A 13287-nucleotide genomic window follows, 5' to 3' on the forward strand; every position below is an offset into this window, starting at 1 on the left:
CCATCTCAAAAGAAAAAAAAATGTATTCCTTTTAAAATTTTGTTCCTTTATTTTATAAACTTCAGAACAACAGATTTGAATGAAAAAATAAGTTATTTTGCTTTTGTTATTTATTTTCATCAACATTTAAGATGAAAGCTCATTAGCACTCCAAAACAAAAAAGAAAGAGAATCAGAAGAAGTAATAGAAATGTCCATCAGTTAAAAGTTTGGTTAAATAAATTACAGTAAATCTATAAAATGAAACACCAGGCAGTGGCTGAAGTGATTATGTGAATCTAATTCTATTGGCATTGTGGTGTATTTACAATGCAGGGGACAAAGTAGCATATGTGATACTGACCCGTTGATGTAAAATTACAGACTGTGTTTGTCTGCTTCGTTCTCCCATAGCCTTCAGTCCTTCCCCTCTCTTAGCACTCAAAACGCTTTATTGTTATTCCTGAGTTAATTTTTAATGTCTCCTAAACTATAAGTTCCATGAGAGCAGGAATCTTATCTTTAGCCCCAGCACCTTGACCAGTGTCTGACACTGAATAAATAAAAGTCAATACAGAATTATTGAATGAATGGGTAGTCTAAGGAACTCAATTTGTCCTGGATGTTTCCTGATTCCTTTTCAAACTGCTGACAAATCATCCATCTGATTATCTGTTCTGGAAGTTTGCCTAGGACTAACATCAAGCCTGAGGAACTTTCCATTTTCTATCTGTGAGTGTTTGCATCCTTATTCATTTAGACTTTCAGTTTGCACAGCCTCTCTTGTTAGATTGTCAGTCCTTCAAAGACAGGGACCATGTTTAGTTTGTTCTTTTTTTTTTTTTTTTTTTTTTTCCATGATACCCAGGAAAATGTTCTGCTTAAAGTGGAGGTCTTTCCAGTGATTAACTGATTTGGCAAGTACAGCCTCCTAAGAGAATAAATTATCAGTTGGGATTATTATAATTTAATGACAATCACAAACACTCCCTTTCACAGGCCAGGCACTGTGGTTGGAGCTGTATGTCAATTATCTCCTTGATATGAAACCAACTAAGTGGCCATCGACCAACGAGTGGATAAAGAAAATGTGGTAGAAATACACCATGGAATACTACTCAGCCATAAAAAAATGAAATAATGTCTTTTGCAGCAACTTGGATGGAGCTGGAGGCCATTATTCCAAGTTAAGTAACTCAGGAATGGAAAACCAAATATCGTATGTTCTCACTTATACGTGGGAGCTGAGCTATGAGGACACAAAGACATACAGAATGATATAATGGACTTTAGAGGCTAGGGGTGGGGGAGGTTGGGAAGGAGGTGAGGGATAAAAGACTACATATTGGGTGCAGTGTACACTGCTCGGGTGACGAGTGCACTAAAATCTCAGAGTTCGCCACCATAGAGTCCATCCATGTAACCCAAAACCACTCGTACCCCAAAAGATTGAAATTTAAAAAAAATTTTTTTTAAAAGCATCTCCTTAATTCACAAATTCCTCTGAGGGTAGTACCACAAGTCCCATTTTACAGGTGAGGCCCCTGAGGCTTCAGCAAGTCTCAGGGACTCACCACAGTCACTCAGCTAGTAAGAAAAGGAACAAAGACTGGAATTTTACCTGACTCCAAGGTCCATGTTCTTAATCACCTGTGACAATCCCCTCTCATATATCCAGCAGCTGATGAAGTCTTTCTCTCAGGAAACCAACTGGACATAGACATGTCATGTCCATTTTATATGCAATATGGTGAATCAGGAGGAGCCGTGAAAGGACGACTCACTAAGTTACTCTCCCAATGTTTATGTTTGTTTAGACAGTGACCATCATGACCACTAGGGAAGATCACTTTCTGATTCTGCTGCCCTCACCTCCTGGACAAAAGCAGAGCAGAGAAGCAGCATAAACCCTGGTTGGGGGCCTAAGAATGATCCCCAACTCTCCACTGCAAACCACCGGGGTCAGGAAGCCTCCGGGTAATGCCCTCTCCCTCTTGTTTCGCTTTTTAAGTAGGTAAGCTGCACAGAGAGAAGCACTGTTGCATATTTCTGGACAGCTTATTTCTCTTGCAGAGGAAGACTGATATACACAACTAAAAGGCACTAACATGGGAGAAGATTTGAGAGATTAGAAGGATGGTGAAGGTGCGGTTGTCCAAAATCCCCCTCTGGGGGGAGATGATTGATATCTGGCTGTCATTCCAAGAAGCTTCTGGTTGACAAATACTGTCTGGTATTTCCTTGCTGATTTCTTACCCTCACACCGCAAGCCCTGATCTCTGTGGTCCACTGTGCAAATGCAAATTACCTGAATCAGGCTGCTGGTGACTCACCAGCTCCCCTTTAAAGCAACATCAGGTTCAACGCAGTGACTGCTCAGTAGAAGCCATGGCTCGCAGACACTGCTTCTCCTACTGGTTACTGGTATGCTGGTTGGTGGTAACTGTGGCAGAAGGTAAGGGTTTTGCTTTTATTCTACTGTGGGTCCACTAATTAATAAGTTGTAGGAAAAGACAAAACTGGCTCCATGATTATACGTTCCCATAAATTGGAAATATTTACCTCAGCTTCCATCAGCCTGTGTGGTTAAAGAGAAGGAAGTTGGATTTTGTCACCTGAAGACCTTGGTCCTCGTCTCAGCAATAGCTCTGTGACTTTAGACACACTTAAAATCTCTGAGTATCAGATTCCTCATATGTGAAGTGACAACATTAACAATATCCATCGTTATGGGGTTTGCAAGGACCAAATGAGCTATCATCTGTGAAAAACTCTTCAAGCTAAAAACACTGTACAAATACTAGTTATTATGGTTACAAAGCTAACAATTCCACTTTGAATTACAGCACTGTCCACTTTCTATCTCCAGCAGCATATTAATTTGCACATGGTGGGTATTTAGTCTTTGTTCATTGCTTTAATTAATCACATCTATTGAGCTGCATTTTGGTGCCACAGAGGTGGGCACAGGTTTCTTTCTTTAGGATTTTATTAGATTCCATTTCTCAACTGTTCCTATTCTCTTTCTTTGTTCCCACTACAAAATGTGTCCTGAGCCTTACAATTGGTTTGCAAACCCCTAGGAAAAGGAAAGAAAAGGCTGGGGAAGGGATGAAAAGAGGGAAATACAAGGGGAGGAAATCTTGGGGAGCCTAGATCTAACCTTTTCTTCAGTTTATTTTAATTCCAAAACTAGATGCTGTTTACGGAAGATGGACCTAGGAGTCAAACAGAGCACTTCACCCCTTTCACATGTCTTGGGTAGGGGGCTTTGCAGGGGCTCAGCCAAACCCTGCTCATCCCCAGACAGATTCCCCGTTCCCATCCCTCAGAGCTCACAATAGACAGGAGGAGGGGAGAGACATAAGAGCTGGTTGTGGAACACTCAGAAACCCCCTGATCCAACCTCTGCACACACTCTGGCAATCAGGGGACAGGGCATAGATTATGAACAAAACCTGCCCCCATATCCCAAGGCAAGGCCCCCAAGCCTCACCTACTAAAAGTGACATCTAAAAGAAGCATCATAAAACAAAACTAGCCACCTGCCACTTTCTCTGCAAAAAGTGAACCGCTCTTCAGGAGGCTTTGTAAACACATAGCTAAACAAGTTATAATGAGATTAGAGATTTATTTTATTCACATCTTAAAAACACCCACTGAGGCTGGGTACAGTGGCTCACACCTGTAATCCCAGCATTTTGGGAGGCCGAGGTGGGCAGATCACCTGAGGTCGGGAGTTCAAAACCAGCCTGACCAACATGGAGAAACCCCATCTCTACAAAAAATACAAAATTAGCCAGGTGTGGTGGTGCATGCCTGTAATCCCAGCTACTCGGGAGGCTGAGGCAGGAGAATCGCTTGAACCCAGGAGGTGGAGGTTGCCATGAGCCAAGATCGTGCCATTGCACTCCAGCCTGGGGAACAAGAGTGAAACTCTGTCTCAAAAAACAAAACACCCATTGAAACACCAGATTTGATTTCCGAATTTGGCTCACTTTTCCCTACAATCCCTCGAAGTCCTTCAAATGTAGCTTCATTCTATCCCAGCAGCCCCTGCTTCCAGTTCATCGCTCGTTCACACACACCCTGGGTCTGCCCGACAAGGTCATGTGTGGATCTCCATACTCATCCTCTTCTCACTGATGCACGGCAGCAACCACAGCTGCTCCCTCCACTTGCTTTCACCTCTGTTTGTTGCAGTTCCGCTTTAAGGCACAACATTTAAATGCCACTATGATTTTGCCTTGACAAAGTCTTTGTTAAGACATAATAATTTTAAAATTGCAGTTTCTCTTTCTGACACCTTTGAATTCTTACAGCTATTTGTGCATCACCTACGGCACGTATGGCATCTGCTCTCTGCTGCAGATCCCTGGCTTCATAGCATCTGCCCACTCCTTGAGCTCAGGCTCTTAATCTTAATCATCTCTGCGTTTGCCAGAGCCCCTAATGTAGTAACCTGTACCTGTTGAAACAACTTGACTCACAGCATAGAATTGAAAGGGGCCTGTCTGATACTTTCTGGGCTCTGATATTTTATCTGTGAAATTAGAGATTTGACCAAGATAGTCATTCTTTGAGTCTACAAAATAAATTGAGTTTTGCAGTTATTGTGAGTAAATCAATCATAGAACTTATTCTTTCTGGCTCAAGTCTGAAAGCACATGAGAATTAGTTTCTAAGACTCCATGCACCATGTAAGGGAAGAACTGCACACTTAAACTTTAAGTAGAAAGCTGACTTCTCTTAAAATCAGTATAGTTCACTGCAAGCCAGCTTTGTCTGCCCAAATAACCACAGAGTATAGGTAATTATAAAAAAAAAAAAAGGTCTTTCATCATTACCTTTTTTTAAAAAAGTACTTGTTTTTAAAGTAGTTGTTGGTATGCTGTGAATTTCATGTCTAGACTATAATAAACCACCTTAAAACTGATATTCAAATTCCAAGCAATATTTTGCCTTGTTTTTTCTATTATACTCTAATTTTTTTGTTTGTTTGTTTGTATGTTTGTTTGAGACAGGGTCTCCCTCTGTCGCCCAGGCTGGAGTGTGCAGTGGCACTATCTCAGCTCACTGCAACCTCCGCCTCCTGGGTTCAGATGATTCTCCTGCCTCAGCCTCCAGAGTAGCTGGGATTACAAGTGTCTGCCACCATGCCCGGCTAATTTTTGTGTTTTTAGTAGAGACGAGGTTTCACCATGTTGGCCAGGCTGGTCTTGAACTCCTGAGCTTAAGTAATCTGCCTGGCTCAGCCTCCCAAAGTGCTGGGATTATAAGTGTAAGCCACCACGCCCAGCCAATTTTTAATATAATTTATTATTGCAGATTTTCTGCGACTGAAATTAAATACTCACTGAACTCCACAAAATATACAGAGAGGAACATTCAAGGTCGGCCTGACCATTTAACTCATCAAGTATTTACTGAGCACCACTATAAGCCAGGGACTATTCTAGGTGCTGGAGACACCGGCAGTGACCAAGAGTCAACAGTCCCTGTCATTGGCGAGGTCCTATTCTAGTAACGTGTGTCCCCAGTAGCCCTATCTTTAATGCACAAATTTTATGGGCCTAAGAAAATGGTGCTCAGGCTAACAGAATGTTTCCATAACATTCAAGATTAATAACCGTAGCTAACACTTATTAAGTGTGAACTGTATGTCCAGCAATGTTCTCAGCACTTTACACATTTTATTTCCGGTAACACTCACAAAGAGATGATGAGATGGGTAGTATTCTTTTCTTCATTTTACAAAGGAGGAAAATGAGACTCAAAGAGGTTAAGGAATCTATCTGTGTTCACCCAGTTATGAAATGGCAGAGCTCAGGAAGCCTGGCTCTAGAGCCTATCCTTTTAAACACTTTGCTATTCTGCCTCTCAAAATGTTTTTAATCTACATTTAAATATTTGACCTACTTTGGTCTTATTAAGCTTGCAGAAGAGCTCTCATCTTTGACATCCAGTGCCTTTGATAGCATGTCAGTATGTTACATACGGGGAAATATTTGCTTATTATTCAACACACTACTCCTGAGAAGTAGGAACTTGGTAACTTTGCAATTATAGAAACTGAGATTTCTCTCAATCAATTCAATTGTACTGGAGGCACCGTGCTAGGGATGAGGAGGCAGCAGTCTACAAGACGGTCACGTAGATCTTTCAGTGGAGCAGGCATATAGCCACTGAATAATAATCACACAGCTGATGAGTATGATGAAAGTGGACTCACAGGGTGCTAAGAAAGCATGTTGCAAAGGGTTTTAACCAAGCCTCTGGGTAGGAAAGGCCTCCCTGACAAAAAGAGAGAGAGAGAGAGACTTGAACAGGAGTTAGCCAGGCAAAGAGTGCTCTGGGCATCTGCAACCACCTTTTCAGAAGCCCAGGACAATTGATGACTTTTGCCAAAGTGGTTTTTGGAGAGGGAAGGAGGCAGGGTTAGATTCCAATGGATTAAATAGGGGGAGAAGTGGAATCAGTAGGTGTACAGACTTTAAAGAGAGAGGAGTAGGAACCAAAGAAGTTCATGGCAGATTACCTCAGCTTTCTCTCCGGAATATGAAGCTGATTAATCAACTTAGAAAGGTAGAGAGAGTTTCAAAGCAAATTCTTCAGATGAATGAAGAATGAAAATTTTGAGGGAAATTTGAGAAGATAGCAAAGGTTTAGAAGATAAGGAACAGAGAAGAACAAAGATAAAAGAATTAATGAGCAGTGTTAGATCAGCTGAAGTCACAGACCATAAATGGCATCAACCCACTTTCTCAGATGTGTGGCCCTAACTTTGTAAGATGTGACAGGTTCCCAAACCAATCACTATTGTTCCCACATTTTAGGACACTTGTGCTAGCTAACTAGCGACCCGATAGGATCACCATAGGTCTAGTTTGTTTGGAAGAATGTGGTTTTATGGGGTCCTGCCCACATTCCTGGGTAAGTGATTGAAGCAAGCTTATACCTTGATCTTGAACCCTTGAAAATTCCCAGAAAAAGAGAGCACTGAACACTACTGGACATCCCAGAGTCAGAGAAAACTTGCCTTGCAGGCTCTGAAACCCAATTGTTAGAGGAGGATTTAGAGAGTAGCTTCAGGTTTCTAGAAATGAAATGAGCACAAGAGGCGGGTGGGTGGGTGGTTTTTAACAGCTGGAGCACAGTTAACCTAGTGGCAGAGCTCAAGGCCTCGTTAAGCCTGAGCTGACAGCAAAATGTCAAGATGGGGCTTAAAAGAGAGGCTAGCTTGGCCGGGCGTGGTGGCCACGCCTGTAATCCCAGCACTTTGGGAGGCCGAGGCGGGCGGATCACGAGGTCAGGAGATCGAGACCAGCCTGGCTAACACGGTGAAACCTCGTCTCTACTAAAAGTATTTTAAAAAAAGAATTAGCCGGGCGTGGTGGCGCGCGCCTGTAGTCCCGGCTACTCGGGAGGCTGAGGCAGGAGAATGGCGTGAACCCGGGAGGCGGAGCTTGCAGTGAGCCGAGATCGCGCCACTGCACTCCAGCCTGGGCAACAGAGCGAAACTCAATCTCAAAAAAAAAAAAAAAAAAAAACGAGACTAGCTTCTCTCCTAGCGACTAGATTCTTGGCAGAATGTCTTCTTCCTGTAAGGTTCAGAACTTAGCAGGAAAAAAGCTACTAATGTGGGATTTGGTCGTTTTCTGCAGTTTAAAGTGTCTCAATCTAGTTTCAGTTTTAGAATTTCAATGTACCCTGAGTAGCTGTGGGAGAAGGGGTTGGTATTTTGTTCAAGGAACAGACACCCATTCAAGCTAGCTTTAGAAACAAGTAGAGCTGGAGGTAGATTGATTATTATAAGGATATCTCCAAGAAACTTAAGAATAGCTAGGGCTCCCTGAAAAGCCAAAAACTGGCCGGCCATGGTGGCTCACGCCTATAACACCAGCACTTTGAGAGGCCCAAGGCAAGTGGATCACTTGAGGTCAGGAGTTTGAGACCAGCCTGGCCAACATGGGGAAACCCCATCTCTACTAAAAATACAAAAATTAGCTAGGCGTGGTGGCGGGCACCTGTAATCCCAGCTACTCAAGAGGCTGAGGCAGGAGAATCACTTGAACCCAGGAGGTGGAGGCTGCAGTGAGCCGAGATCTCACCACTGCACTCAAGCCTGGGGAACAGATGGAGACTCCGTCGAAAAAAAAGAAACACACACACACCAAGGCTGCTGCTCCCAACATCACTCTGTTACCACAAGGCTCTGGTCTCTTCCTCTGTCCCGGAAGCCTTCCCTATTTTGCTGCTTCTATGTGCAGACTGGCTTCTCTGCATTCTCAACATTCCACAGGACAAAACCTGACACTCCAGCCCCTGCCCTACACCTTCCACTGACGTCTTCCACTGTGGCTCAATTCTTAAGTGAGAATCTGATTGGTCACTGACCAGACAGTGAATGAGTTGAGTGTCTATCAGTGGTCCAATCAGCCATAGCCAGAAGGTGCGTAGGACTGACAACTGACATTTCCAGGGTTCGTCGATGAAACAGAATATATGTATGAGGGACTGTGGACATAGGCAAGTAACAAGCGTATCCAATACAGCCAAGAAACCTGAATTCAACTGTCCCAAATGAGAGGGGAATCTAGTCCTTTATAAGTGCCTCAGCACTCTCAACTTCCTGTGGGAAGTTCTTTTTTTTTTTTTTTTTGAGACGGAGTTTTGCTCTCGTTGCCCAGGCTGGAGTGCAATGGCGCAATCTCGGCTCACCGCAACCTCCACCTCCCGGGTTCAAGCAATTCTCCTGCCTCAGCCTCCCGAGTAGCTGGGATTACAGGCATGCACCACCACGCCCGGCTAATTTTTGTATTTTTAGTAGAGACAGGGTTTCTCCATGTTGGTCAGGCTGGTCTCGAACTACTGACCTCAGGTGATCCGCCCACCTCGGCCTCCCAAAGTGCTGGGATTACAAGGGAAGTTCATTTTATCATCATTCACACTGGCAGCCCTTTCCAGGCTGTATATGTAAGCCTCTAAGGGAGTGAAGGAACAATTTTCTAAAGAAAAGATTACTTTTTTGTAGCCAATTTGATTCAATGACACAGCCAAGGAAGACTATGACACTTGGGTTTGATCCAAATTTCTTCTCAAAAAGTAATTGTATCCTGGTTCTCAGTGCTCTTTCTCCTGCTGCTTGTAGATGGTCCCTCCCTTCCCCTAGGAAATTATTTCACTGCTTGGGCAGTTGAAGCAGAACTTTTGAACAGTTATTTTTATTTTCTTAACATTAATTAAGTTCTTTTTTTCAGCTGAATTTTCTTTATTTAGTTATAATTTACATGCAATAAAATCCACACATCTTTTTTTTTTTTTTTTTTTTTTTTTTTTTTTTTTTTTGAGACAGAGTCTCGCTCTGTCAGCCAGGCTGGTGTGCAGTGGCACGATCTTCGGCTCACTGCAAGCTCTGCCTCCCGGGTTCACGCCATTCTCCTGCCTCAGCCTCCCGAGTAGCTGGGACTACAGGCGCCTGCCACCACACCTGGCTAATTTTTTTGTATTTTTAGTAGAGACGGGGTTTCACCATGTTAGCCAGGATGGTCTCGATCTCCTGACCTCGTGATCTGCCAGCCTCGGCCTCCCAAAGTTCTGGGATTACAGGCATGAGCCACAGCGCCCGGCCAAAATCCGCACATCTTAAAGGTAAGGCTTGATTACATTTTACATATGGGTACATATAAATGTGTGTATGTGTATAAACATATGTATGTACATATATATCTGTTTATATACAAATTATATATGTGTAGGTACACCTGTGTGTGTATACATGTAGATATATAGATAACCATATCTATGTAACAACCACCCAGATCAAGATATGAAACATTTCTAAAGAGTGGTCCCTGGCTACACTTTCTGCTAAAAAATACCTATCCTTTCCCTAAGCTGAATTATTATTTTGACTTTTTCTTAACTATAGATTAGTTTTGCTTGTTTTTGAACTTCATATAAAGGGAGTCGTACAGTATGTACATTTCTGTGTCTAACTTCTATTGCTCAACATTCATGGGATGTATCCATGTTGTGGGTATTAGTAGTTCTTCCTTTTTATCGCTGAGTACTATTTCATTGTATGAATATACACAGTTTCTTCATGCATTCTTCTGTTGATGGACACTTAGATTGTTTCCATTTAGGCTATTATGAATAAGGCTACTGTGAACACCCCGAACAAGTCTTTTTATAGACATAATCATTCATTTCTCTTGGGTAAATTCCCCACAGTGGCAATGCTGGGTCATCCAGTGTGTCTGTGTCTCATTTCATTGAACGTTGGCAGTTCTTTCAAATATACATTGAGATTTCTCTAATTCTCTCTTCCCATCTTTCTCCTCTGCCACCACTCTAAACCACTCTTCTGCTTCTGTTACCAGACCTGTTTCCTGACTTGCGTTTTCCTCTCCACAGGACAAGAAGAGGTATTTACGCCTCCTGGAGATTCACAAAATAATGCGGACGCTACCGACTGCCAGATCTTTACACTCACCCCTCCACCTGCCCCGAGGAGTCCGGTCACAAGGGCCCAGCCCATCACAAAGACACCCAGGTGTCCCTTCCATTTTTTTCCACGAAGGCCCAGAATCCATTTTAGGTTTCCAAACAGACCTTTCGTCCCTTCAAGGTGTAACCACCGTTTTCCATTCCAGCCATTTTATTGGCCACACCGTTACCTTACTTATAGGTATTTCCCCAGAAGAAGACTCCAGAGAGGAAGCTCATCTGAGGAAAGCTGAGAGGGAAGAGAAACCCAAACATACTGAAGCAAAAAAAAGCCTATCCTTCAGAAAAAAGCAACAAAAAGATTTCTGTTTTATCTTTCGAAACTAAAACTATTGGATTTGAAGATTAAGTATCCTAAACATCACTGACTAGAAACTGTTCTCTTTGTCAGCAGTGAAGATATTGGATCATAGGTTATTGATGGTTGCAAAATTGGACAATAACCACGTTATTTTTATCCTCAACCTCTTATGGTCACAGGATATTTATGCAAATAAAATCTTTAAATGGGTGGCTCTAGTAATTCCTATCCATACTAAGATGCTGAGAGAATCCATCTCCTCCTCTAAATTAAACAGGATTTAAATAAATTGAGATCATTATAAACCACACGAAGAAACTGATGACACCGTTTTTATACTCATTGGAAAACATACAGAGCAAGGTGCATTGACAAAGTAAACTTTAAAAGAAATTATAAAGCTTAAAGCAATTAAAAAGTTATGAGGAGTCTGACTGTAGCTAATACTTTAAAGATATAAACTGACTTGTCTAACCCAAATAATAATAATTATTATTATTTTCTTGGAGACAGAATTTCACTCTTGTTACCCAGGCTGGAGTTTAGTGGTGCTGTCTCGGCTCACTGCAACCTCTGCCTCCCGGGTTCAAGCAATTCTCTTGCCTCAGCCTCCCAAGTAGCTGGGATTATAGGTGCTCGCTACCAAGCCTGGCCAATTTTTTGTATTTTTAGTAGAGATGGGGTTTCACCATGTTGGCCAGGCTGGTCTCGAACTCCTGACCTCAGGTGATCCACCCACCTCGGCCTCCCAGAGTGCTGGGATTACAGGCATGAGTCACTGCGCCCAGCCCCAAATAATTACTTTTAAACTATAGTATCTAAATTTACTTTAATGTTGACTTCAACTGATGCAAATTAATTTGATAATTTTCTCACTGTTTCCCGTTATCATTACATAGATGCTGGCTAAAATAATATACTTCCTCTCAAACTTTTAACGTAATTCCAGGTTCAAAATGCCTGATTAAACTGCTACAAGAATATTCTGGTACCTCTAGAACTCCACAGAGATAAGTTCACTCAACTCTTGGAACCTTGTATTCTCAGGGTGCAATATGAGAAACAAATCCCACAGATTGCATTGATTGGTTATTTGTTTTGGCCACTCTGTAAAACACATCTTCCTGTTTATGCCACTTATCTTGCCTGTAACATAAGAACTTTAGTTCTGCATATGTGGTCAGTGGTTTGCACTTTTTCCTCCCAAGATCTACATGCAAAAGTTGCTGTTGCTGCTGCTGCTACAAAAACAGAAAAAAAAAAATCAGGATGAAGACATGAAAGGACTTTGGGAATGGTTGCCCTAAAAAAGGAAAGAGAGATAAAATCATCATGCTATGTTTCTTTGCTTTATTAAAATGATCAAAAAAGAAAAAAACTATTTAATTCACATTCTAGAAAATATTCATTTTAAGAATAGATTTTTGCTTCAAATTTACAGGCTTCAATAAAAACCTACTTGAAAGTCTCTTCAGAAAAACAAAACAAAACTATATTTTGAAATAAACCCTACCTGCTCTCTTTTTTTTGGTTGATGGGGACATACCAGAAAAGGGCCAGCTTCAGGCAAACTTGAAGACAGATAAAGGTTTGTATTTGAAACCCACCTCCCCTTCTGACTCTCCTCCTTTATTCCGGCATGCTCACCACTCACCTAGGTACTCAGTGTCCTCATAGTGCCAGCAACTGCCAAAAACTAACCTACCTTTGACTGGGCTTTCTCTTCCCAAATGTTAGAACTTTTGCAATTCAAAATTTAATCGTTCTGAAATCTAGTCCTTGAAGGACTTGCTAAGTAATATGCCAGCCTCAGGTAAACTAAGACAAACTAATGATGGATGAACAGCTTCGATGCATTAATCACTGCATTAATTATAGAAGGCAGGCTACTCCTACAGTGTTTCAGAGTAAGGGCCTTTCAACATAGCTCTAGGTAAAATTGCATTATTCCTCACCCTGGAACATGTATAGAATATGAGAAGCAGCCCACACCTGCTATTAAAAGTATAGGCCTAGGAGTGCAAAAGGCTTATTTGGGGGAGGGAAGAATATGCTTTTGTGACTTAGAAAAATTTGCATCATTCCTTTGGATTCATAAATTCACTTTTTAAATACAGAGATTCCTAGCAGGTTTATTGAATTAGAAGGATAATGTGGAACCACTAATACCTCCATGTGAATTAGTTTCTCAAATTAGTTCCTTTCGACTAGCTGTTTTTGAAGCAATGGGAGTCTGTGGGATGGGTATAATAACTCTTCAATGCATTTTTTTTCTTTTGAGGCAGGAATTACAACAATAGTATTGTAAGTCTAAAGTTCTAATTATGCCCAAAACACATAACCTGAATCTAATCATCAAAAAAAAACTCAAATTAAGGAACATTTGCAAAACTGGCATCTTCAAAAATGTAGATGTCATGAAAGACAAAGATTAAAGGAGATTGAAGTGGATGACAATTCAGTGCAATATGTGATCTCCGATTAGATCCTGGAGG

The 13287-nt window shown here is 41.7% G+C and overlaps 1 protein-coding gene across 5 annotated transcripts, besides 1 other annotated feature; it reads left to right on the top strand.

Annotated features, from left to right (window-relative positions):
• Positions 2084-2378: a silencer, noted in NCBI's record as "tiled region #12890; HepG2 Repressive non-DNase unmatched - State 4:PromP, and K562 Repressive DNase matched - State 8:EnhW". NCBI's record gives its function as "represses a minimal TATA promoter and a strong SV40 promoter by Sharpr-MPRA in HepG2 and K562 cells {active_cell/tissue: HepG2 | K562}" and the evidence as "EXISTENCE:reporter gene assay evidence [ECO:0000049][PMID:27701403]".
• ODAPH (odontogenesis associated phosphoprotein) lies at positions 2351-12178 on the top strand. Of its 5 annotated transcripts, NR_046429.3 has the most exons (5): positions 2351-2434; positions 2826-2869; positions 9520-9630; positions 10399-10537; positions 10673-12178. NR_046429.3 is itself a non-coding variant. In NM_001257072.2 (3 exons), exons 1-3 carry the CDS (start codon positions 2368-2370, stop codon positions 10722-10724), a joined length of 258 nt encoding a protein of 85 aa, NP_001244001.1. In that variant the 5' UTR covers positions 2351-2367; the 3' UTR covers positions 10725-12178. The 5 variants fall into 5 exon arrangements, 3 of the variants coding, with proteins under 3 accessions (NP_001244001.1, NP_001193910.1, NP_848592.2); NR_046430.3 differs by lacking the exon at positions 2826-2869 and having other exon boundaries at positions 9495-9630; NM_001257072.2 differs by lacking the exons at positions 2826-2869; positions 9520-9630.

The sequence above is a fragment of the Homo sapiens genome, chromosome 4, assembly GCF_000001405.40.
Source record: "Homo sapiens chromosome 4, GRCh38.p14 Primary Assembly".
Classification (NCBI taxonomy): Eukaryota; Metazoa; Chordata; class Mammalia; order Primates; family Hominidae; genus Homo; species Homo sapiens.

What these genes read in the sequence shown, in the direction of transcription:
- ODAPH (NM_001206981.2), top strand. Translation starts at nt 2,368, where the DNA reads ATGGCTCGCAGACACTGCTTCTCCTACTGGTTACTGGTATGCTGGTTG. An exon ending in GGTGGTAACTGTGGCAGAAG is followed by an intron (nt 2,435 to 2,825) that starts GTAAGGGTTTTG and finishes TTTGAATTACAG; the next exon opens with CACTGTCCACTTTCTATCTC. An exon ending in AGCATATTAATTTGCACATG is followed by an intron (nt 2,870 to 10,398) that starts GTGGGTATTTAG and finishes TCCTCTCCACAG; the next exon opens with GACAAGAAGAGGTATTTACG.